At 47.6% G+C, this 24,255-nt stretch overlaps 2 pseudogenes; one reads left to right on the top strand and one right to left on the bottom strand.

Annotated features, from left to right (window-relative positions):
• The first annotated feature begins 245 nt into the window (after nucleotides 1–245).
• GEMIN2P1 (gem nuclear organelle associated protein 2 pseudogene 1) lies at nucleotides 246–20,310 on the top strand (annotated as a pseudogene).
• On the bottom strand, nucleotides 14,182–14,479 carry RN7SL372P (RNA, 7SL, cytoplasmic 372, pseudogene; annotated as a pseudogene).
• Nucleotides 20,311–24,255: the final 3,945 nt, after the last annotated feature.

Here is a 24,255-nt window from a genome sequence, read left to right as displayed (position 1 = left end):
CAAACAAACAAACAAAAAACCTACTAGATATAAAAGAAACAATTCTGTATACAAAGTGTATAAATAAAAGCAAGATATATTTTTGGCAAGGAAAGTTGTAAAAGTATTGAGAAAAAATAATTGTGTCTATTTTACAAGTTACTTAAAGTTTGTTTCAATTGGAAGGAATAAAAATATAGATAAAACTAAATGGATACAGAAGTTGGGAAGAGAAAGGGAATAGAAAAAGATTCTGTGGGGAACTGGCTGGGTTGAAAATCATGGCATGGGTACCAGCAGAGTCTGCAGTGGAAGAGGAGTTGATGCCTGGCCCTCTGCCACCAGACAGAAGGTTTCAATCCCTCGTTATCCCAGAGGATGCCTCAGGAATACCTGAGGAAGGTCCATACCAAAGCAGCTCAATGTCCAGATGCTGTGGTACCTCAAACTGACCCAAATAAGTTGAAAAGGAAGGACGGGCACGGTGGCTCACGCCTGTAATCCCAACACTTTGGGAGGCTGAAGCAGGTGGATCACCTGAGGTGAGGAGTTCAAAACCAGCCTAGGCAACATAGTGAAACCCCATATCTACTAAGAATACAATAATTAGCTGGGCGTGGTGGCAGGAGCCTGTGATCCCAGCTACTCGGGAGGCTGAGGCAGGAGAATCACTTGAACCCAGGAGGCGGAGGTTGCAGTGAGCTGAGATCACACCACTGCACTCCAGCCTGGGCGACAAGAGCAAAACTCCATCTCAAAAAAAAATGAAGTTGAAAAGGAAGCAAGGTGTGAAGGTTTCTCTTTTAGGATGCCAACCTGCCCCTGAAGGTTATTCCCCAATACTTCAGTGGCAATAGAAAGTGGCACCGTTTTCAACGTAAGACAGAATGTGCACAAACATAGAAGTCACTGCAAATCACGACAGTTGGATAGTAATGTGACTATGCCAAAATCTAAAGATGAAGAAGGCTAGAAGAAATTTTGTCTGAGTGAAAGTTTATATGCTGGTGTGGTCACTGACAGCTACAAATGAAAGTCCTAGAATTAATTATGTTCAAATTGGTTTTCCTCCCTTGGTTAGTATTGCTAGCAGAATGAATCAGACAACAGTAGCTACTGTCTTGGAATATCTGAGTAATTGGTTTGGAGAAAGAGACTTTACTTTGGATTTGAGAAGATGGCTTTATGTCTTATTGGCTTGCCTTGAAAAACCTTTATTACATGAGGTTCATTCACTGATTCAGCAGCTTGCAAGAAGGTGCTCTGAAGTGTGAGGCTCTTAGTGGATAGCAAAGATGATGAGAGGGTTCCTGCTTTGAATTTATGTATGTATTTATTTATTTATTTTATTTTTTTGAGACGGAGTTTCGCTCTTGTTGCCCAGGCTGGAGTGCAATGGCGCAATCTTGGCACACCACAATCTCCGCCTTCTGGGTTCAAGTGATTCTCTTGCCTCAGCCTCCCGAGTAGCTGGGATTATAGGCAAGTACCACCACCCCTGGTTAATTTTTGAATTTTTAATAGAGATGGGGTTTCACCATGTTGACCAGGCTGGTCTCAAACTCCTGACCTTAGGTGATCCACCCACCTCGGCCTCCCAAAGTGCTGGGATTACAGGCGTGAGCCACCATGCCCAGCCACCCCAACTCTTTCTTTTTTTTTTTTTGAGACGGAGTCTCTCTCTGTTACCCAGGCTGGAGTGCAGTGGTGTGATCTCGGCTCACTGCAACCTCCACCTCCCGGGTTCAAGCGATTCTCCTGCCTCAGCTTCCCGGTAGCTGGGATTACAAGCACTTGCCACCACGCCCAGCTAATTTTTGTACTTTTAGTAGAGATGGGGTTTCACCATGTTGGCCAGGCTGGTCTCAAACTCCTGACCTTGTGATCTGCCCACCTCGGCCTCCCGAAGTGTTGGGATTATAGGCGTGAGCCACTGCACCTGGCCACCCCAACTCTTAAACAAAAAAAATTTGGCCAGGCTGATCTCGAACTCCTGGCCTCAGGTGATGTGCCCTCCTTGGCCTCTCAAATTGCTGGGATTACAGGCATGAGCCACCATGTCTGGCCCACACTTTTAAAATTTCAAAAAGCAACCTATGAGATATCACTAAACACTTTCTAGAAGAGCTACAATTGAAAAGACTGACAGTACTAAGTGTTGGCGAGTATGTGTATGAGTCACTGAGCCTGGACTTTTTTTTTTTTTTTTAGATAGAGTCTCCCTCTGTCGTCCAGGCTGGAGTGCAGTGGCATGATCTCAGCTCACGGCAACCCCCGCCTCCCAGGTAAAAGTGACTCTCCTACCACAGCCTCCTGAGTAGCTGGGACTACAGGTGTGTGCCACCACACCCAGCTAATTTTGTATTTTTAGTAGAGATAGGGTTTGACCATGTTGGCCAGGCTGGCCTCTAACTCCTGACCTTGTGATCCACCTGCAGAGGATCAAAGCACGTTTAAGGCCACAGCATGTCAAAGCACCAGTCTTTGGGGTATTACTTTTTGAACCCCAACAGTACGTTGGTAAATTGTTGAGCAGTATCTACCAAAGCCAAACAATTGCCTATCCCATGATACAGCATTTATAAGTATATAGCTGAGAGAAATGAGTACCTGTGGCTACTAAAAAGCATGTATAAGAATGGCTGGGTGTGGTGGTTCCTACCTGTAATCCCAGCACTTTGGGAGGCTGAGGCGGGAGGATTGCTTGAGGCCAGGAGTTTGAGACCAGTCTGGACAACATAGTTTAACTGCCTTTGCAAAGATTATGCCCGTTTAGAGAAATCTAGCATGGCTGACTCTATCTTGCTTCTAGCCTCACAGGCTAGCTATCTTCTCTTATTCCTAGGCATAGGCCAAGCTACCCATAGGAGGAATTTAGTGCATAGCTTAATTTAAAAGCAAGGATGATAATAGTGCCTTCCTAAAACTAACCCGCTTCTTGCTCAGGGAGTGAAAACTGCCTTATAAGACTAATGAAAGTCCACAGGATTAGGATTATGGGAGGGACGTGAATTCTACTAAAATATAGACATAGTTTCTATAATCCCTTACTGCTCAGGAGTCATGTGGCCGGTGGTCTCAAGATTTGTGACTTCCCCAATTGCTCCTATAGATAACATCAGTATTGTAGAACCTAAGATTGGTCTTTTAAAATGTTTTTCAGGGTGGGTGAGGTGGCTCACGCCTGTAATTCCAACACTTTAGGAGGCTTAGGTGGGCAGATCACCTGAGGTCGGGAGTTCGAGACCAGCCTGGCCTACATGGTGAAACCCCATCTCTACTAAAAATACAAAAATTAGCTGAGTGTGGTGGTGCATGCCTGTAATCCCAGCTCCTCAGGAGGCTGAAACAGAAGAATCATTTGAACCTGGGAGGCGGAGGTTGTAGTGAGCTGAGATCGCACCACTGTACTTCAGCCTGGGCCACAAGAGCAAGACTCTGTCTCAAAAAAAAAAAGAAAAAAGAAAAAGAAAAAAGTCAGACTTCTATCAGGGTGGTGCAAAAGAAATGGTCAAAACTGCAATTACTCTTGCACCAACCTAATACATTCTGGCAACTTACTGACCTTACCCAGACTTGTGCTCATGATATAACCAAATGGTCTTGTGCCCGCCCCCCGCCACCCAGAGGCCGACTCAGCACACAAGGACATTTTTCCACACCCCTATCATTATATCCCCAACAAAACAGCAGCACGCATTCCCTAGTTCTCTGCCCACCAAACTATCTTTGAAAAACCCTAACTTTGATGATCACTTGAGGCCAGGAGTTTGAGACCAGCCTAACCAACATGGCAAAACCCCATCTTTACTAAAAACACAAAAAATTAATCGGGCGTAGTGGCATGAGCTTCTAGTCCCAGTTACTCAGTATGCTGAGGCATGAGAATTGCTTAAACCGGGGAGGTGGAGGTTGCAGTGAGCCGAGATTGCTTCGCTGCAGTCCAGCCTGAGTGACATAAAGAGTCTCAAAAAGAAAAAAAGAAAGAGAGAGAAAGAAAGAAAGAAGAAAGAAAGAAAAGAAAAGAAAGAAAGAGAAAAAGAGAGACAGAAAAAAGGAAGGGAAGGGAGAAAGAAAAAAGGAAGGGAAGGGAGAAAGAAAGAAAGAGAGAAAGAGAAAGGAAGGAAAGGAGGGAGGGAGGGAGGGAGCCGGGCATGGTGGCTCACGCCTGTAATCCCAGCACTTTGGGAGGCTGAGGCAGGCGGATCACCTGAAGTCCAGAGTTCAAGACCAGCCTGACAAACATGGTGAAACCCCATCTCTGCTAAAAGTACAAAAATTAGCCAGGCGTGGTGGCTAACACCTGTAATCCCAGCTACTCAGGAGGCTGAGGCAGGAGAATCACTTGAACCTGGGAGGCGGAGGTTGCACTGAGTTGAGATTGCGCTATTGCACTCCAGCCTGGGCGACAAGAGTGAAACTCCATCAAAAAAAAAAAAAAAAAAAAAAAGAAGAGAAAGAAAGAAAGGCCCTAACCTTCTAGCCTTCAGAGAGGCTGATTTGAGTGATAACTCTAGTTGTACTACACAGCTGGCCTTGCATTGATTGAACTCTTTATTGCAATAACAGGGTCTCAGTGGATTGGTTTCGTGTGTTCAGTGGCCAGAAGAACCAATTGGGGAATGACAATAGCCAGACACCATCTCTCTAAAAAACAAACAAACAAACAAACAAGTTATCTATGTCAATAAAAGTAAGAATAAGCCAGGCGCAGTGGCTCACCCCGTAATCCCAGCACTTTGGGAGGCCAAGGCGGGCAGATCACAAAGTCAAGAGATCGAGACAATCCTGGCCAACATGGTGAAACCCCATCTCTACTAAAAATACAAAAATTAGCTGGGCGTGGTGGCACACGCCTGTAGTCCCACCTACTCGGGAGGCAGAGGCAGGAGAATCACTTGAACCTGGAAGGCGGAGGTTGCAGTGAGCCGCGATCATGCCACTGCACTCCAGCCCGGTGGCAGAGCGAGACTCCATCGAAAAAAAAAAAGTAAGAATAATGATTACATCTAAGGGGTTGAAGGTCAGGGGAGGTATTGATTAGGAGGGACAGGAAAGAACCTCTGAGTTGTTGGGAACAATCCTATCTTTTTCTGGGTGATGGTTATATGAATGTATACACATGTAAAACTTTATTGAGCTGTACACTTTACTATATGTATTTTGTGTGTGTGTGTGTGTGTGTGTTTTGAGTTGGAGTCTCGCTCTGTTGCCCAGACTGGATTGCAGTGGCGTGATCTCGGCTAACTGCAACCTCTGCATCCCAGGTTCAAGCTATTCTCCTGCCTCAGCCTCACGAGTAGCTGAGATTACAGGTGTCCACCACTATGCCCAGCTAATTTTTTGTATTTTTAGTAGAGACGGGGTTCACCATGTTGGCCAGGCTGGTCTCGAACTCCTGACCTTGTAATTCGCCTGCCTCAGCCTCCCAAAGTGCTGGGATTACAGGCGTGAGCCACCGTGCCTAGCTTGTTGCTTTTTTTTTGTTTTTGTTTTTGTTTTTTTGAGGTGGAGTTTCACTCTTGTTGCCTAGGCTGGAGTGCAATGGTGTGATTTCGGCTCACTGTAACCTCTGCCTCCCAGGTACAAGTGATTTTCCTGTCTCAGCCTCCCAAGTAGCTCGGATTACAGGTATGTGCCATCACACCCAGCTAATTTTTGTATTTTTAGTAGAGATGGGGTTTCACCATGTTGGCCAGGCTAGTCTCGAACTCCTGACCTCAGATGATCCACCCACCTCAGCCTCCCAAAGTGCTGGGATTACAGGCGTGAGCCACTGCACCAGACTACCTCATTTTTTAAATGGAGCAAATAAAGCTAAACTGAGGTACCACTTTTTATCTGTCAGGTTGACAAGAATCCCAGTTTTGATATAGGAGTTAAGAAGATGGCAGGGCGCAGTGACTCACGCCTGTAATCCCAGCACTTTGGGAGACCAAGGTGGGTGGATCATCTGAGGTCAGGAGTTTGAGACTAGCCTGGCCAACATGGTGAAACCCCATCTCTATTAAAAATACAAAAATTAGCCGGGCCTGGTGGCACGTGCCTGTAATCCCAGCTACCCGGGAGGTTGAGGCAGGAGAATCGCTGGAACCTGGGAGGCGGAGGCTGCAGTGAGCTGAGATTGTGCTACTGCACTCCAGCCTTGGCAACAGAGCAAGATTCTGTCTTAAAATTAAACAAACAAACAAAAAAAGAATCTACTTAGGCAGATAGGATATGGGAGTCCTTGGTAAGGTTCTCCTTTTATTTTTATTGATTGATTGATTGATTATTATTTTCAGATGGAGTTTCACTCTTGTTGCCCAGGCTGGAGTGCAATGGTGCGATCTCAGCTCACTGCAACCTCCGCCTCCTGGGTTCAAGCAATTTTCCTGTCTTAGCCTCCCGAGTAGCTGGGATTACAGGTGAATGCCACCACGCTCAGCTAATTTTTATATTTTTTTAATATGGACAGGGTTTCATCATATTGGTCAGGCTGGTCTCAAACTCCTGACCTCAGGTGATCTGCCCTCCTTGGCCTCCCAAAGTGCTGAGATTACAGGCATGAGTCACTGCACCTGGCCATTATTATTATTATTGAGATGGAATCTCTCTCTGTTGCCCAGGCTGGAGTGCAGTGGACAATCTGGGCTCACTGCAACCTCTGCCTCCGGATTCTCCTGCCTCAGCCTCCCGAGTAGCTGGGGTTACAGGCGTGCCCCACCAAGCCCAGCTAAGTTTTGTATTTTTAGTAGAGACGGGGTTTCACCATTTTGGTCAGGCTGGTCTTGAACTCCTGACCTCAAGTGATCCACCTGCCTTGGCCTCCCAAAGTGCTGGGATTACAGGCATGAGCCACCGCACCCGGCCTATTTATTTATTTATTTTCGAGACGGAGTCTTGCTCTGTCACCCAGGCTGGAGTGCAGTGGCAGGATCTCGGCTCACTGCAACCTCCGCCTCCTGGGTTCAAGTGATTCTCCTGCCTCAGCCTCCAGAGTAGCTGGGGTTACAGGCACGTGCCATCACACCCAGCTAATTTTTGTATTCTTAGTAGAGACGGGGTTTCACCATGTTGGCCAGGCTGGTCTCGAACTCTTGACCTCATGATGCACCTGCCTCGGCCTCCCAAAGTGCTGGGATTACCGGCATGAGCCACCAGGAGGTTCTCCTTTTAATGAAAAGCAACCCCAGATCATTTTCCTTTCTAACAAAGAGCAGCCTGTGAAATCGAGCTGCAGACATAGATGCCAACAGTTGTGCCAATCATGTTCAAAATGGCAGTTCCATCTTTCCTTCTCTTTGTCAGCCACAGTGTACAGTAAGGAGCAGATAATATGGCACCTGGCAAGGGGAGAGTTCATTTGCATAATAAGATTAGGGTGGGGTGGCCAGCCTTCCCCTCAAGCTATATAAACGTCACACCTGATTGAACCAATTTGATTTACCTACGTAAATCAGACATCGCCTTTCAAGCCTGCCTATAAAATCCGGCGAACTCTGCTGCCGGCCAGTCTTTTCCTTTGGGAAGCCCCTCTTTCTTGCCAGAGAGAAAGCTGTTCTCCTTTTTCTTTCTGCAACCTCCGCCTCCCGGGTTGCAAGTCCAAATAAAGCTAAACTGAGGTACCACGAAACTCCTCCTGTGTGTTTGTGTCCTAAATTTTCTTGGTACCAGACGACGAACCTCGGATATTTACCCCAGCCAACGAAGCCACTTTAGTTTGATACTGTTGTCAAAGTTTTGGGGAATTCGTCACTATCATGCATTGCTGGCGGGTGTGCAAGTTGTTAAACCCTATATAGGGTCAATTTGGAATAGATATAAAAGTTGCAAATGCATATTATATCTTTTGACTCACTAATCCCATTTCTAGGAGTTTATCTTACAGATATATTGAATGAAACATAGATATGAGATAACACATTAGGTATAGGTATGGGATTAGACATAGCATTTATAATAGTGAAAGATTAAAAATATATAAATGGGCTAGGCACAGTGGCTCACGCCTGTAATCCCAGCACTTTGGGAAGCCAAGGCAGGAGGATTGATTGAGGCCAGGAGTTCAAGACCAGCCTGGGCAAAATAATGAGACAGTGCCTCTACAAAAAAATTAAAAAATTAGCCAGGCGTGGTGGTACATGCCTGTAGTCCCAGCTACTTGGGAGTCTGAGGCAGGAGGACCTCTTGAGCCCAGAAGTTCAAGGCTGTAGTGTGCTGTAATCATGCCACTGCACTTCAGCCTGGGTGACAGAGTGAGACCTGTCTCAAAAGAAAAAGAAATAAAATAAATAAAAATAAACTTCTTTTGGGCCAGGCACGGTGGCTCACACCTGTAATCCCAGCACTTTGGGAGGCCAACGTAGGCGGATCACGAGGTCAGGAGATGGAGACCATCCTGGCTAACACAGTGAAACCCTGTCTCTACTAAAAATACAAAAAAATTAGCTGGGTGTGGTGGTGGGCGCCTGTAGTCCCTGCTACTAGGGAGGCTGAGACAGAAGAATGGCATGAACCCGGGAGGCTGAGCTTGCAGTGAGCCGAGATCGCGTCACTGCACTCCAGCCTGGGCAATAGAGCAAGACTCCGTCTCAAAATAAATAAATAAATAAAAATCAATCAATCAATCAATCAATCAATAAACAAACTTCATTTGATTTTGCTAGAGAAAAGATTGAACTATCTTTCTTTTTCCTCCATAAAAAAATGATATCATGGGCTGGGCACAGTGGCTTATGCCTGTAATCCCAGAACTTTGGGAGGCTGAGGCGGGCAGATCACTTGAGCCCAGGAGTTTGAGACCAGCCTGGGCAACATGAAAAAACCCCATCTCTACTAAAAATACAAAAAAATTAGCTGGGCGTGGTGGTGGGCGCCTGTAATCCCAGCTACTCTGGAGGCTGAGGCAGAAGAATCGCTTGAATCCGGGAGATAGAGGTTGCAGTGAACCGAGAGCGCGCCACCGCACTCCAACCCGGGTGACAGAGTGAGACTCCGTCTCAAAAAAAAAAAAAAAAAAAAAAAAAAAAAAATTCTAAAAATTAGACAGAGTGTGTGCCTGCAGTCCCAGCTACTCAGGAGGCTGAGGTGGGAAGATTGCTTGAGCCTGAGTGATTGAGGCTGCAGCGAGCTATGATTATGCCACTGGACTCCAGCCTGGGTGACACAGCAAGATCGTGTCTGAAAAAGAAAGAAGTATTACAAAATCATTGTTATATGAAATAACAATCAGAGTACGCAGTGCGAAAAGTAGGAGTTTGAGCTGTAGAGTGTCTGACAGAAAATAAAAAAACTTTAGGCCGGGCGCGGTGGCTCACGCCTGTAATCCAGCATTTTGGGAGGCCGAGACAGGCGGATCACGAGGTCAGGAGATCGAGACCATCCTGCTTAACACGGTGAAATCCCGTCTCTACTAAAAATACAAAAAAATTAGCCGGGCGTGGTGGCAGGCGCCTGTAGTCCCAGCTACTCGGGAGGTGGAGTCAGGAGAATGGCGTGAACCCGGGAGGCGGAGCTTGCAGTGAGCTGAGATCACGCCACTGCACTCCAGCCTGGGCGACAGAGCGAGACTCCGTCTCAAAAAAAAAAAAAAAAAAAGAAAATAAAAAAACTTTAAAAAATTTTTTTAAAAAGGAAAAAAGAGAAAAGTAGTAGTTAATATTATAGAAGTGAGATGGGTAGTTACTAATAAAGATATCCTTCTAGATTGTGAGATGTTTGGATTTCTGTCAGGTTTTTGAAATTTGTAATTTCTTTTCACTTTCTAATTAAATATTTATTTCGTAACCATTTTTTTTTTTTTTGAGATAGACTCTTGCTCTGTCACCAGGCTGGAATGCAGTGACGCGATCTCCTGTGTTCAAGCGATTCTCGTGTCTCAGCCTCCCGAGTAGCTAGGGTCACAGGCACACATCACCACACCCAGATAATTTATGTATTTTTAGTAGAGACGGGGTTTCACCATGATGGTCAGGATGGTCTCAATCTCCTGACCTCGTGATCCGCCTGCCTCGGCCTCACAAAGTGCTGGGATTGCAGGCATGAGCCACTGCACCTGGCCTGTATTCTTTTTTTTAAAGGGGACCCACCAAACTGTGTAAACTCCAAGTCCCACAAAACCTGGATCCACCCTGGCTTGGGCCAGCTGCAGAGGGACTTTGAGGAGACAGCAAAACTGTCCACTGGAGTTTTTAAATAAAACAAAACAAAAACAAAAACTGGTCTCTAGGTGACATATCCCTCCTTTCCCCCAAATCCTGTATGAAATCTTTAGCAAAATAGCTATTTTTTAACTTTAAAATTTAACAGAGAACCAGGTGGAAGAGACTTGGATTAACAGGAGCAATGTGAGAAATTCTGTGGGGGTAGAGGGAGGAGTGTATGTGTGGCCACAAGTTCCATAATAGGTATGGAGGTGACAATTGCCTTCTGTCTGCACTCCTCGGGCTGCACCTGGAAGATTCTGCCCCAGATAAGGAGGCAGGTTGTCAAAGGGACAGGGAAAGACTAGGGCAAACCCACAGGCACTCATCCAGAGTGACAGAGTTTGGAGTCAGAGCCCGGAGATTTCTTTCTCTCTCTCTTTCTTTCTTTCTTTCTTTCTTTCTTTCTTTCTTTCTTTCTTTCTTTCTTTCTTTCTTTCTTTCTTTCTCTTTCTTTCTTTTCTTTCTTTCTTTTTCTTTCCTTCTTTCTTTTTCTTCCTTCCTTCCTTCTTTCCTTCCTTCCTTTTCTTTTCTTTCCCTCCCTCCCTTTCTCTTTCTTTCTCTTTCTTTCTTCTTTTTCTTTTTCTTTCTTTCTCTTTTCTTTTGCCTCCCTCCCTCCCGCCCTCCCTTCCTCCCCTTTCCTTCCTCCCTTCCTCCCTTCTTTCCTTCCTTCCTCCCTTCCTTCCTCTTTCTGTCTCTTTTTTTTTTTTTTTTTTTGATAGAGTCTCTATATTTCCCAGGCTGATCTTGAACTATTGGCTTCAAGGAATCCTCCTGCCTTGGCTTCCCAAAGTGCTGGGATTACAGGTTTGAACCACATGCCTAGCCAAGATCTTGGAGAAGTGTCTCAAGAAACTACAGATGGTCTTTGACTTACTATTTTTCTTTTTCTTTTTTTTTTTTTGAGATGGAGTTTCACTCTTGTTGCCCAGGCTGGAGTGCAATGGCACGATCTCAGCTCACCGCAACCTCTGCCTCCCCGGTTCAAGTGATTCTCCTGCCTCAGCCTCCCGAGTAGCTGGGATTACAGGCATGCACTACCACGCCTAGCTAATTTTGTATTTTTAGTAGAGACGGGGTTTCTCCATGTTGGTCAGGCTGGTCTTGAATTCCCGACCTCATGTGATCTGCCCACCTCAGCCTCCCAAAGTGCTGTGATTACAGGTGTGAGCAACTGTGCCTGGCTAATATTTAATTTTTAATTATTATAGATACTTGCTAGTTGTATTAAATATATTTTCAATTTATAATACTTTCAATTTAGGACGGACATATTGGGATGTAACTCCATCCCCCATAAGTCAAAGAGCATCTGTAGTGATGTTGTACTGCTGAGACTCCAAATGGAGGGGTAGGAGGGGGTGGGCACTGTTGTTAGAAGAGACAGCGGACCTCTGCCTACTTAGAAAAGACAATGCTGGGCCTGGCTCAGTGGCTCATGCCTGTAATCCCAGGACTTTGGATGGTCAAGGTGAGCAAATCGCTTGAGCCCAGTAGTTGGAGACCAGCCTGGCCAACATGGCAAAACCCTATCTCTACAAAAAACACAAAAATTAGCCAGGTGTGGTGGTGTGGGCCTGTAGTTTCAACTACTTGGGAGGCTGAGGTGGGAGGATCACTTGAGCCCAGGAAGTGGAGGTTGCAGTGAGCCAAGAAGTCATCCCTGCACTCCAGCCACTGCACTCCCACCTGAGTGACAGAAGGAAACCCTGTCTCAAAAAAAAAAAAAAAAAAAAAAAAAAAAAGCCAGTGCTATGCAGGGCAGGTGGGCCCCACTTAGCCTGGGAGGGTTCTTGGTCTCCCCCAGGAAAGAATTCAATAGTGAGCCAGCGGTGTTAAACTGCAACTTTTAATTGAAGCAGCAGGGTACAGCAGCAGCACAGGTGCTGCTCCCTGGGGAGCACAGCTACCCCATCGGCAGTGTACCCAGAGTAGCAGCTCAAAGGCCATTTGCAGTCATTTTTATTTTATTTTATTTTATTTTTTCGAGACAGAGTCTCGCTGTCTCTCCAGGCTGGAGTGCAGTGGCGCGATCTCAGCTCACTGCAAGCTCCGCCTCCCGGGTTCATGCCATTCTCCTGCCTCAGCCTCACGAGTAGCTGGGACTATAGCCACCCGCCACCATGCCTGGCTAATTTTTTGTATTTTTAGTAGAGACGGGGCTTCACCATGTTAGTCAGGATGGTCTCGATCTCCTGACCTCATGATCCACCCACCTTGGCCTCCCAAAGTGCTGGGATTACAGGCGTCAGCCACCACGCCCAGCCTGCAGTCATATTTATAACTCACTTTTTTTGTTGTTGTTGTTGTTTTTGTTTTTTGAGATGGAGTCTTGCTCTGTCACCTAGGCTGGAGTGCAGTGATGAGATCTCAGCTCACTGCCTCCTGGGTTCAAGCGATTCTCCTGACTCAGCCTCTGGAGTAGCTGGGATTACAGGCGTGCAGCACCACTCCTGGGTAATTTTTATATTTTTCGTAGAGATGGGGTTTTACCATGTTGGCCAGGCTGGTCTGGAACTCCTGACCTCAAGTGATCCGCCCGTCTCGGCCTCCCAAAGTGCCGGGATTACAGGCGTGAGCCAACTCGCCCAGCCTATAACTCACTTTTAATTACATGCAAATTAAGAAGCGGGCTATGCAGAAATTTCTAGGAAAAGGTTGGTAATTTCCAGGTCATCAGGTTGTTGCAATGGAAAGGGGCGGAAACATCCCAGTGTTGCCATGGCAATGGTGAACTGACAGGGCACACTGTTGGGCATGTCATGGAAAGCTGCTTCTCTTCAGTCCCTGTTTTAGCTAGTCGTCAACTTGGTCCTATTTCTGAGCCCCACCTCCTGAGTTGAGTCTTGCCCCCTACCTCTCTAGGACCATTGGAAGAGGTGGGGAGCTGGAATGGCTTTTCTATAAATATGAAAGGCATTTATATTAAATACCTAACATAGGCCAGGCGTGGTGGCTCACACCTGTAATCCCAGCACTTTGGGAGGCCAAGGCGGGTGGATCACTTGAGGTCAGGAGTTTGAGACCAGCCAGACCAGCCTGACCAACATGGAGAAACCACGTCTCTACTAAAAGTACAAAATTAGCTGGGCGTGGTGGCGCATGCCTGTAATCCCAGCTACTCAGGAGGCCGAGGCAGGAGAATCGCTTGAACACGGGAGGTGGAGGTTGTGGTGAGCCGACATCGCGCCATTGCACTCTAGCCTGGGCAACGAGTGAAACTCCATCTCAAAAAAAACAAATAAATAAATAAAAATAAAAAATAAAATAAATAAATAAATAAATACCTAACATCAAACAATTTATAATTCACATTGGAATGATGTTCATCAGATTTTTTTACATTTTATTTTTATTTTTTATTTTTTTGAGACAGTGTCTCACTCTGTAGCCCAGGCTGGAGTGTGGTGGCAGGATCTCAGCTCACTGCAACCTCTGCTTCCCGGGCTCAAGCAATCCTCCAACCCCAAACTCCCTGGTAGCTGGGACTACAGGCACGTGCCACCACGCCAGGCTAAATTTTTTTTTTTTTTTTGAGATGGAGCTTCACTCTTGTTGCCCAGGCTGGAGTGCAATGGCGCGATCTTGGCTCACTGAAACCTCCAGTTCCTGGGTTCAAGCAATTCTCCTGTCTCAGCCTCCCGAGTAGCTGGGATTACAGGTGCCCGCCACCACGCCTGGCTAATTTTTGTATTTTTATTAGAGACAGGGTTTTGCCATGTTGGCCATGCTGGTCTCGAACTTTTGACCTCAGGTGATCTGCCCACCTTGGCCTCCCAAAGTGCTGGGATTACAAGGGTGAGCCACCGTGCCTGGCCTTATTTTTATTTTTTTAATTTTTAAAAAATGTGGGTACGGCCAGGTGTGGTGGCGCCCACCTGTAATCCCAGCTACTTGGGAGGCTGAAGCAGAAGAATTGCTTGAATCCCGGAGGTGGAGGTTGTAGTGATCTGAGATCACACCATTGCACTCCATCCTGGGCCACAGAGCAAGACTGTCTCAAAAAAAAAAAGAAAAAAAATTCAGGGTCTTGCTGTATTGCCCGAGCTGGAGTGCAGTGGTTATTCATAGGCTGGATCCCATTACTGATTAGCATGGAAATGTTGACCTACTCTGTTTTCGATGTGGGCCAGTTTACCCCTTATAAGGCAACCTGGTGGTCTCCTGCTCCCAGGAAATCACCAGATTTATGCCCAATGTGGTGGGGACACCTGATTGCATAGTGCACTACAGCCCAGAACTTCGGCCCTCAAGTGATCCTCCTGCCTCCTCTCCCCAAGTAGCTGGGCCTACAGGCATGTACTACCACGCCTGGCCAAATATTAACAAATACTATATTTATAATTGTAGAGATAGGGTCTTGCTATGTTGCTTAGGCTCGTCTCAAACTCCTGGGCTTCAAGTGATCCTCCTGCCTTGGCCTCCCAACAAGCTGGGATTATAGATGTAAGCCACCATGCACTGCCAATAATGACTATTTTGATGTCAGAATCTTAGGTGATTTTTTTTTTTTGTAAGTCTGCGTCTCACTCTGTACTCAGGCTGGAGTGCAGTGGCACCATCATGGCTCACTGTAACCTTGAACTCCTGGGTTCAAGGGATCCTCCTGCCTCAGCCTATTGAATAGCTAGGACTACAGGCATGTGCCACCACACCTGGCTAATTTTTTTTTTCTTTTGTAGAGATGAGGTCTTGTTATATTGCCCAGGTTGGTCTTGAACTCCTGTCCTCAATTGATCCTCTTGCCTGGGCCTTCAAAGTGTTGAGATTATGGGTGTGAGCCACTATGCCTGGCCTCTTAGGTGATTTTTTATTTCTTCTCTGTAATTCTTTTTCTAAGTGTATGTTATTTCTAGAAATAATAAGGTCATTAATCTTTTTTTTTTTTTTTTTTTGCGACAGGGTCTTGCTCTGTTGCATAGGCTGGAGTGCACTGGCACAATCTAGGCTCACTGGAACCTCTGCCTCCAGGGTTCAAGTGATTCTCCTGCCTCAGCCTCCCGAGTAGCTGGGACTACAGGCTCGTGCCACCATGCCTGGCTAATTTTTGTATTCTTAGTAGAGACGGGGTTTTGCCATGTTGGCCAGGCTGGTCTCGAGCTCTTGATCTCGTGATCCACTGACCTCGGCCTCCCAAAGTGCTAGGATTACAGGTGAGAGCCACCTCACCCTGCCCAAGGTCATTAATCTTAAAAAAAAAAAAAAAAAAAAAAAAGGCTGGGCCTGGTGGCTCACGCCTGTAATCCCAGCACTTTGGGAGGCCACGGCAGGCAGATCACGAGGTCAAGAGTTTGAGACCAGCCTGGCCATCATGACGAAACCCCGTCTCTACTAAGAATACAAAAATTAGCCAGGTGTGGTGACATGAGCCTATAGCCCCAGCTACTCAGGAGGCTGAGGCAGGAGAATTGCTTACCGGGAGGCGGAGGTTGCAGTAAGCCGAGACAGTGCCACTGCACTCCAGCCTGGGCAACAGAGCGAGACTCCATCTCAAACAAACAAAAAAACAAAAAAAAACTCGACCAGGCGCAGTGGCTCACACCTGTAATCCCAGCACTTTCGGAGGCTGAGGTGGGCAGATTACCTGAGGTCAGGAGTTTAAGACCACCCTGACCAACGTGGCAAAACCCCGTCTCTACTAAAAATACAAAAAATTTAGCCAGGCGCGGTGGTGTGCCTGTAATCCAAGCTGCTCAGGAACCTGAGGCAAGAGAATCGCTTGAACTCGGGAGTCGGAGGTTGCAGTGAGCTGAGATCATGCCACTGCACTCCAGCCTGGGTGACAGAGTGAGACTCTTGTCTCAAAAAAACAAAGAAACAGGCCGGGCTCAGTGGCTTATGCCTGTAATCCCAGCACTTTGGGAGGCCGAGGTGGGTGGATCACCTGAGGTCAGAAGTTCAAGGTCAGCCTGACCAACATAGTGAAACCCCGTCTCTACTAAAAATACAAAATTAGCTGGGTGCGTTGGTGAGTGCCTGTAGTCCCAGCTACTCGAGGGGCTGAGGCAGGAGAATTGCTTGAACTTGGGAGGCGGAGGTCACAGTGAGCCAAGATCTTACCACTGCACTCCAGCCTGGGTGACAGAGCAAAACCCTGTCTCAAACAAACAGACAAATGAAACCCAAAGAAACAAACAAAAAGCAAAAAAAGATGCACCTTCCTTAGATGGCAGTTTCAGGGTCAAGCCCCCTTTTCCATAAATAAAATGAGTTTCTGTTCCCTCAAAAGGAATTGTGATGATTGAAACATTTCCATCTTCTTCTTCTTCTTTTTTTTTCTTTGTTTTTTTAGATGGAGTCTCACTCTGTCACCCAGCCCAGAGTGCAGTGGCACCATCTTGGCTCACTGCAACCTCTGCCTCCCGGTTTCAAGCAATCCTTGTGCCTCAGCCTCCTGAGTAGCTGCGATTACAGGCGCCAGCCATCATGCCCGGCTAATCTTCCTGTACTTTTAGTAGAGACAGGGTTTCACCATGTTGGTCAGGCTGGTCTCGAACTCCTGACCTTGTAATCTGCCCACCCTGGCCTCCCAAAGTGTTGGGATTACAGTCGTGAGCCACCGCGCCTAACCATTTTTTTTTTTTTGAGACAGAGTCTCACTCCGTCGCCCAGGCTGGAGTGCACTGGCGCAGTCTCAGCTCACTACAACCTCCACCTCCTGGGTTCACGCCATTCTCCTGCCTCAGCCTCCCGAGTAGCTGGGACTACAGGCACCCGCCACCATGCCCGGCTAGTTTTTTGTATTTTTAGTAGAGACAGGGTTTCACCGTGTTAGCCAGGATGGTCTCAATCTCCTGACCTCATGATCTGCCCGCCTCGGCCTCCCAAAGTGCTGGGATTACAGGCGTGAGCCACCGCGCCCGGCCTTTTTTTTTTTTTTTTGAGGAGTTTCGCTCTTGTTGCCCGGGCTGTAGTGCAATGATGCAATCTTGGCTCACCGCAACCTCTGCCTCCCGAGTTCAAGTGATTCTCCTGCCTCAGCCTCCTGAGTTGCTGGGATTACAGGCATGCGCCACCATGCCCAGCTAATTTTTGTATTTTTAGTAGAGACGGGGTTTCACCATGTTGGTCAGGCTGGTCTTGAACTCCTAACCTCAAGAGATCCACCCGCCTCGGCCTTCCAAAGTGCTGGGATTACAGGTGTGAGCCACCGTGCCCAGCTGAAGATCACAGATATTTTTAAAAGGATTTCAGACCTGGATAAGCAGTTAGATTGCATAATCTGTACTTTTTCTTTTTCTTTCTTTTTTTTTTTGAGACAGAGTTGCCCTCTTGTTGCCCAGGCTGGAGTGCAATGGTGCCATCTCGGCTCATCGGAACCTCCGCTTCCTGGGTTCAAATGATTCTCCTGCCTCAGCCTCCCCAGTAGCTGGGATTACAGGCATGTGCCACCACGCCTGGCTAATTTTTTTTTTTTTTTTTGTATTTTTAGTAGAGATGGGGTTTCTCCATGTTGGTCAGGCTGGTCTCGAATTCCCGACCTCAGGTGATCTGCCTACCTCAGCCTCCTAATGTGCTGGGATTACAGGCATGAGCCATCGCGCCCGGCCTAATCTGCACTTTTTCTAATACAAAGATTTTTAGATCTTACTAGTATCTCTCATTAAGGAGTTCAATCAGGTGCTGCATTTCACTTCCCACTATTCTTCAGATGTAAGCAACTCCTTAAATCTAGCATTATGGGCCAGGTGCGTTGGCTCACACCTGTAATCCCAGTACTTTGGGAGGCCAAGGCAAGAAGATCACTTGAGGCCAGGAGTTTGAGTCCACCCTTGGCATCATAGTGAAACTTTGTCCCTACTAAAAATTTTTAAAAATTAGCTGGGGGCCAGGCATGGTGGCTCATGCCTGTAATTCTAGCACTTTGGGAGGCCAAGGCAGGTGGATCACCTGAGGTCAGACCAGCCTAGCCAACATGGCAAAACCCCATCTCTACTAAAAATATAAAAATTAGGCCAGGCATGGCAGCTCACGCCTGTAATCCCAGCACTCTGGGAGGCTGAGGTGGGCAGATCACGAGGTCAGGAGCTCGAGACCAGCCTGACCAACATGGTGAATCCCTGTCTCTACTAAAAATACAAAAATTAGCCAGTCATGGTATCACACACCTGTAATCCCAGCTACTCAGGAGGCTGAGACAGGAGAATCGCTTGAACCCGGGAGGCAGAGGTTGCAGTGAGCAGAGGTAACGCCACTGCACTCCAGCCTGGGCGACAGAGCGAGACTCCATCTCAATAATAATAATAATAATAATAAACTAATTAATTAAAAATACAAAAAGTAGCCAGGCTTGGTGGCAGGCACCTGTAATCCCAGCGAGGCTGAGGCAGGAGAATCACTTGAACTTGGAAGGTGGAGGCTGCAGTGAGCTGAGATAATGCCATTGCACTCCAGCGTGGGCGACGGAGTGAGACTTCATCTCCAAAACAGAAAAAAAAGAATTAGCTGGTGGGGGTGGTGTGCTCCTGTAGGCCTAGCTGCTCGGGAGGCTGAGGTAGGTGGATCACTTCACCCCAGGAGTTCCAGGTTGCAGTGAGCTATAATTGCTCCACTGCACTCTTGCTCAGCCTAGGAGACAAAGTGAAACTCTGTCTCAATTAAAAAAAAAAAATCTAGCGTTATGATTTGTATACTGTTGACTCTTAATCATACCAACAAACACTTACCTAATTGTTATTACCTGCCAGTGTTCTGAGCATGTAACAGGAATTATTAAGTCATGTAATTCTCAAAACAAACCTATGAAGTAGGTTTTAAGATCATTCCTGAGTTACAGAATAGAAAACTCAGGGCAGAGAGAAGCTGAGTAGTTTGCATAAGGTTACATTGATTATGAGTGACAGAGCTGGGATCTAAATCCAGGCAGGCTATCTCCAGAGTCCAGCCTCTTACCCAACTTTGCACTGCCTCTCATTTGATAGAGGAGTGTAATTGTGCCAGTTTTGAACACTGAGATCTGCATGGTATTTTGGCCTAGTTTTTCCCTGCCTGAAGTTTAGTGGGCTGACCTGATCATTGGACATGCAATAGCCAAGGCATACCATATGTAGTCCACATTTGGAAGCCAAAGACAGATAGTCATACTGGGATGATTGCATCAAGTTCAGACAGGGTGCCACTGTCATGAGCAGATATGCCTGATTATGGAATCTTCCCTTTGGAAAGGTTCTTAAAGGGCAACCAGCCTATCCTCTGACTCACTGGTGCCAGTGTATGTGGTATGGAAGTGGATGGCTGGGGTCTTTTCCTATCTGGACTCTCTCACTGCTTCTCTAACCATGGTTTGAGGTACAGTCAAGCAGGTTTTTGCCACCACCTCCCCTGTTCCTGGTAGAATGCAGTCTGGGAGCAGGCATGGGACGTGGTCTCATCTTCCTCCAGAGCGTCCTCTCCTGTCTTTGTGCAACACCAAATTCATCCGCATCCCGACCCTTCATCTTGGTGGTAAACACCTCGCCTGGAATCTTACTTGCGTTCCAACCCAAAGAGATTAAATCTTCCTGGACCGCATTCTTTTTTTTTTTTTAAATGGTTAATTTATTTATTTTTATAGCTCCTGCAATTTAATTAAAAAATTGACTTTCAGTCTGCAAAACTGGGCTCTGCTTAATTAGATTCCACGGATCTGTCCTGAAAGGTATAAATCTTTTTTAAAAATAATTATTACTAAATATACTGCTGTGATAAATGACTCAAACCCTTTGACGTAGAGAAAAGAGCGGGTGAGGGAGGAGGTTATTTGTCTGTTTCTGTCAGCTCCATTTTTGTTCCAGGCCGTGGCCTTGTTCGGGGCTGGCTGGGCGGGGGTTCCCTCTGCACAGCCTCCAGCTGGCCCTTCCACCCGCCTGCTGAGCTGCCTTCTCAGCCCGCCCCACTCTTCCAGGGGCGTTACGTGGGCTGATGAGATAATGTATGTGAAAGCCTTTGTCAACTGCAAGGCACAATCGAATGCCAATTATTATTGTTATTCTTACCATACTCTGGGGAAACCCTGTGGCCCTCACCCCTCCCAAACGTACTAGGCGGGACAGCCCGGGAAACTGAGAGGCTAGACTGCCCCTCCCATGTGGGCGGAGGTTCCTGGCACAAGACGGTCTCCCCGGCCTGTGGGGAGGGCTTTATTGCTACCCTCCTGGTGCCCCCTTAGGAATGGCTTTCCCAGTTCTTCCTGGCTTCAGGGGCCTTCCTCCGGAAGGAAATCTCCTTAGTTCCAGTGAAAGTTCTCGGGCCGCTGAAATCATCGACTCCTTAGGCCCCTCCTCACCTCCGCCGCACAGCCCCTTCCCCTCCCGGTGCCCGCAGTGGAGCCAGGCTGCCTCGGAAGGATCTGACCGGCAATTTCCTAGAATTGTGCTTCTGGAGCTCCTCAGTCGTCCACTCCCTGCCCCTCTTCCCCACCTCATTTAAGGCTCCTCTCCCCAGAGCCCAAGTCCCCGTAGCTGTCCCAGCTCCACCCTGATCTAACTTCCTAGGCCTCACAGCTCTCTTTATCATAGCCAGTCTCTTCAGGGGCTGTCTGCTCCCCTTGTGGGGAGGAACTGGGGCATGGGAGGCTACAGGGCCACCGGGGCCCATCAGGAAGTTCAGTAGCTGTGGTTGACAGGACAACCACTCTTGGTTAGGCCTTCCCAGTGCTGTTCATCCCCGGCTTGGCTGGTGAGAGGACTGGACCATGTCTGCTCCCTCTCCCGATAAATTGAGCCTGACTGGTGCCAAAAAGGGTGGGCGGGAAGCACAAAACAAGAGTCACTGGACAGGAGGGGAGCAATTTATCCTTTCTTTATCCCAAACTGCCAGCCGTGTACCAGGGAGCAGTGCCACGCCAGACCTCCAAGCTCCCAGTGGCCACCCTACGTCCAGGTCCCACAGGGTGGACTCCAGGAAGAGGCCTGGGAGGTCAGGGGAGAGGCCTGCCTGCACTTGATGGATGGTCCTGAAGAAATGTCTGGCACTTTCCTCCCCCATGAGGGCGGTGGAGCTGCAGCCACCTCTCCCCCGCATTCCTGCCTGCCTGCCTGCCTGGGAAGGAGGGGTGAGGGGTGGGTCCAGCAGGGAAACCAGGGCTCCTGGCCCAGCTGAGAGGCATTTTGCAAACTATGACTCAACATTTGTCTACACTGACATGGGGAATGGAGGAGCACGTGGACAATCCCCAAATTTCACCTGGGTTGAAAGGCATCCATATGTTCCCACCCGACCCCCACTTCCTCCCCAGCTCCCAGGCCTCTCCATTCAGTCCATACTAATTATCTGATTCCTACTGTATGCCAGCCATTGAGTAACATAACAGTTCTCAAGGTGTGGTCCGCAAATCCTGGGAGTCCCAAATATTTTTTCAGGGCATAGATGAGGTCAAACGATTTTCATAATAATTCTAATACGTTATTTGCCTTTTTGACAGAGTTGACACATTGCATCGAAGTGCAAAAGCAATGGGGGTAAAACTGCTGTGGCTTTACATAAATCAAGGCAGTGGCACCCAATTAGTATTGCATGCATTCTTCACCACTGCACACTGAAAAGGCTGGTTTCACATAAGAATGTTCTTGATAAAGCAGTCAACAATTATTAACATGTAATAGGCTTATTATTGTTATCTTACATGAGTTAATAAATAAGGATTTGTCGGGCCGGGCACGGTGGCTCACGCCTATAATCCCAGCACTTTGGGAGGCCGAGGCGGGTGGATCATGAGGTCAGGAGATCGAGACCATCCTGGCTAACAAGGTGAAACCCCGTCTCTACTAAAAATACAAAAAATTAGCCGGGCGCGGTGGCGGGCGCCTGTAGTCCCAGCTACTCAGGAGGCTGAGGCAGGAGAATGGCGTGAACCCGGGAAGCGGAGCTTGCAGTGAGCCGAGATTGCGCCACTGCAGTCCGCAGTCCGGCCTGGGCGACAGAGCGAGACTCCGTCTCAAAAAAAAAAAAAAAAAAAAAAAATAAATAAATAAATAAATAAATAAGGATTTGTGGCTGGGCGCGGTGGCTCACGCCTGTAATCCCAGCACTTTGGGAGGCTGAGATGGGCGGATCACGAGATCAGGAGATCGAGACCATCCTAGCTAACATGGTGAAACCCCGTCTCAACTAAAAATACAAAAAAATTAGCCGGGCACGGTGGCGGGCGCCTGTAGTCCCAGCTACTCGGGAGGCTGAGGCAGGAGAATGGGGTGAACCCAGGAGGTGGAGCTTGCAGTGAGCGGAGATCGCGCCACTGCTCTCCAGCCTGGGTGACAGAGCAAGACTCTGACTCAAAAAAAAAAAAATTAAAAAATAAATAAATAAGGATTTGTTTTAATATCTACTATGGTAAATATCAATAGATATCCACATAAACAAAAGCTCTTTAGGTCCCTAATACTTTTTTGTGTGTGTGATTGAGTTTCGCTCTTGTTGCCCAGACTGGAGTGCAATGGCACAATCTCGGCTCACTGCAACTTCTGCCTCTCGGGTTCAAGCAATTCTCCTGCCTCAGCCTCCTGGGTAGCTGGGATTATAGGCACCCACCACCACGCCCAGCTAATTATTGTACCTTTTTTTTTTTTTTTGAGATGGAGTTTCACTCTTGTTGCCCAGGCTGGAGTGCAATGGCGCGATCTCGGCTCACCGCAACCTCTGCCTCCCAGGTTCAAGTGATTCTCCTGCCTCAGCCTCCCTAGTAGCTAGGATTACAGGCATGTACCACCACACCTGGCTAATTTTGTATTTTTAGTAGAGATGGGGTTTCTCCATGTTGGTCAGGCTGGTCTCGAACTTCTGACCTCAGGTGATCCACCCGCCTTAGCCTCCCAAAGTGCTGGGATTACAGACATGAGCCACCGTGCCTGGCTAATTATTGTATTTTTAGTAGAGATGGGGTTTCACCATGTAGGCCACGCTGATCTCAAACTCCTGACCTTGTGATCCACCCACCTTGGCCTCCCAAGCTGCTGGGATTACAGGGTTGAGCCACTATACCTAGCCTTTTTTTTTTTTTTTTAAGATAGTCTCGCTCTGTGGCCCAGGCTGGAGTGCAGTGGTGAGATCTTGGCTCACTGAAGCCTCCACCTCCTGGGTTCAAGCAATTCTCCTGCCTCAGTCACCTGAGTACCTGGGATTACAGGCATGCATCGCTATGCCCGGCTAATTCTGTATTTTTTTTTTTTTTTTTTGAGACAGAGTCTCGCTCTGTTGCCCAGGCTGGAGTACAGTGGTGCAATCTCAGCTCACCACAACCTCTGCCTCCCAGGTTCAAGCGATTCTCCTCCCTCAGCCTCCTGAGTAGCTGGGACTACAGGCATGTGCCACCATATCTGGCTAATTTTTCTATTTTTAGTAAAGACGGGGTTTCCCTATATTGGCCAGGATGGTCTCGAACTCCTGACCTCATGATCCACCTGCCTCAGCCTCTCAAAGTGCTGGGATTACAGGTGTGAGCCACCGCGTCTGGCAACTAATTTTGTATTTTTAGTAGAGACTGGGTTTCTCCATGTTGGTCAGGCTGGTCTCGAACTCCTCATCTCATGTGATTTGCCCACCTCAGCCTCCCAAAGTACTGAGATTACAAGAGTGTGCCTGGTTTTTTTTTTTTTTTTTTTTTTTTTTTTTTTGAGACAGTCTCCCTCTGTTGCCCAGGCTGGAGTGCAGTGGCGCCATCTCGGCTCACTGCAACCTCCGCCTCCTGGGTTCAAGAGATTCTCGGCCGGGTGTGGTGGTTTACGCCTGTAATCCCAGCACTTTGGGAGGCCGAGGCGGGCGGATCATGAGGTTGGGAGATCGAGACCATCCTGGCTAACATGGTGAAACCCCGTCTCTACTAAAAATACAAAAAATTAGCCGGGCGAGGTGGTGGGCGCCTGTCCCAGCTACTCGGGAGGCTGAGGCAGGAGAATGGGGTGAACCTGGGAGGCAGAGCTTGCAGTAAGCCGAGATGGCACCACTGCACTCCAGCCTGGGCGAAGGAGCGAGACTCCGTCTCAAAAAAAAAAAAAAAAAAAGAGATTCTCCTGCCTCAGTCTCCTGAGTAGCTGGGATTACAGGCGCGTGCCACCATACCCAGCTAATTTTTGTATTTTTAGTAGAGACTGGGTTTCACCATGTTGGCCAGGCTGGT

Source organism: Homo sapiens, chromosome 1 (assembly GCF_000001405.40).
Source record: "Homo sapiens chromosome 1, GRCh38.p14 Primary Assembly".
Classification (NCBI taxonomy): Eukaryota; Metazoa; Chordata; class Mammalia; order Primates; family Hominidae; genus Homo; species Homo sapiens.
The sequence above is the reverse complement of the archived record's forward strand: the minus strand, read 5'-3'. Positions and strand labels throughout refer to the sequence as shown.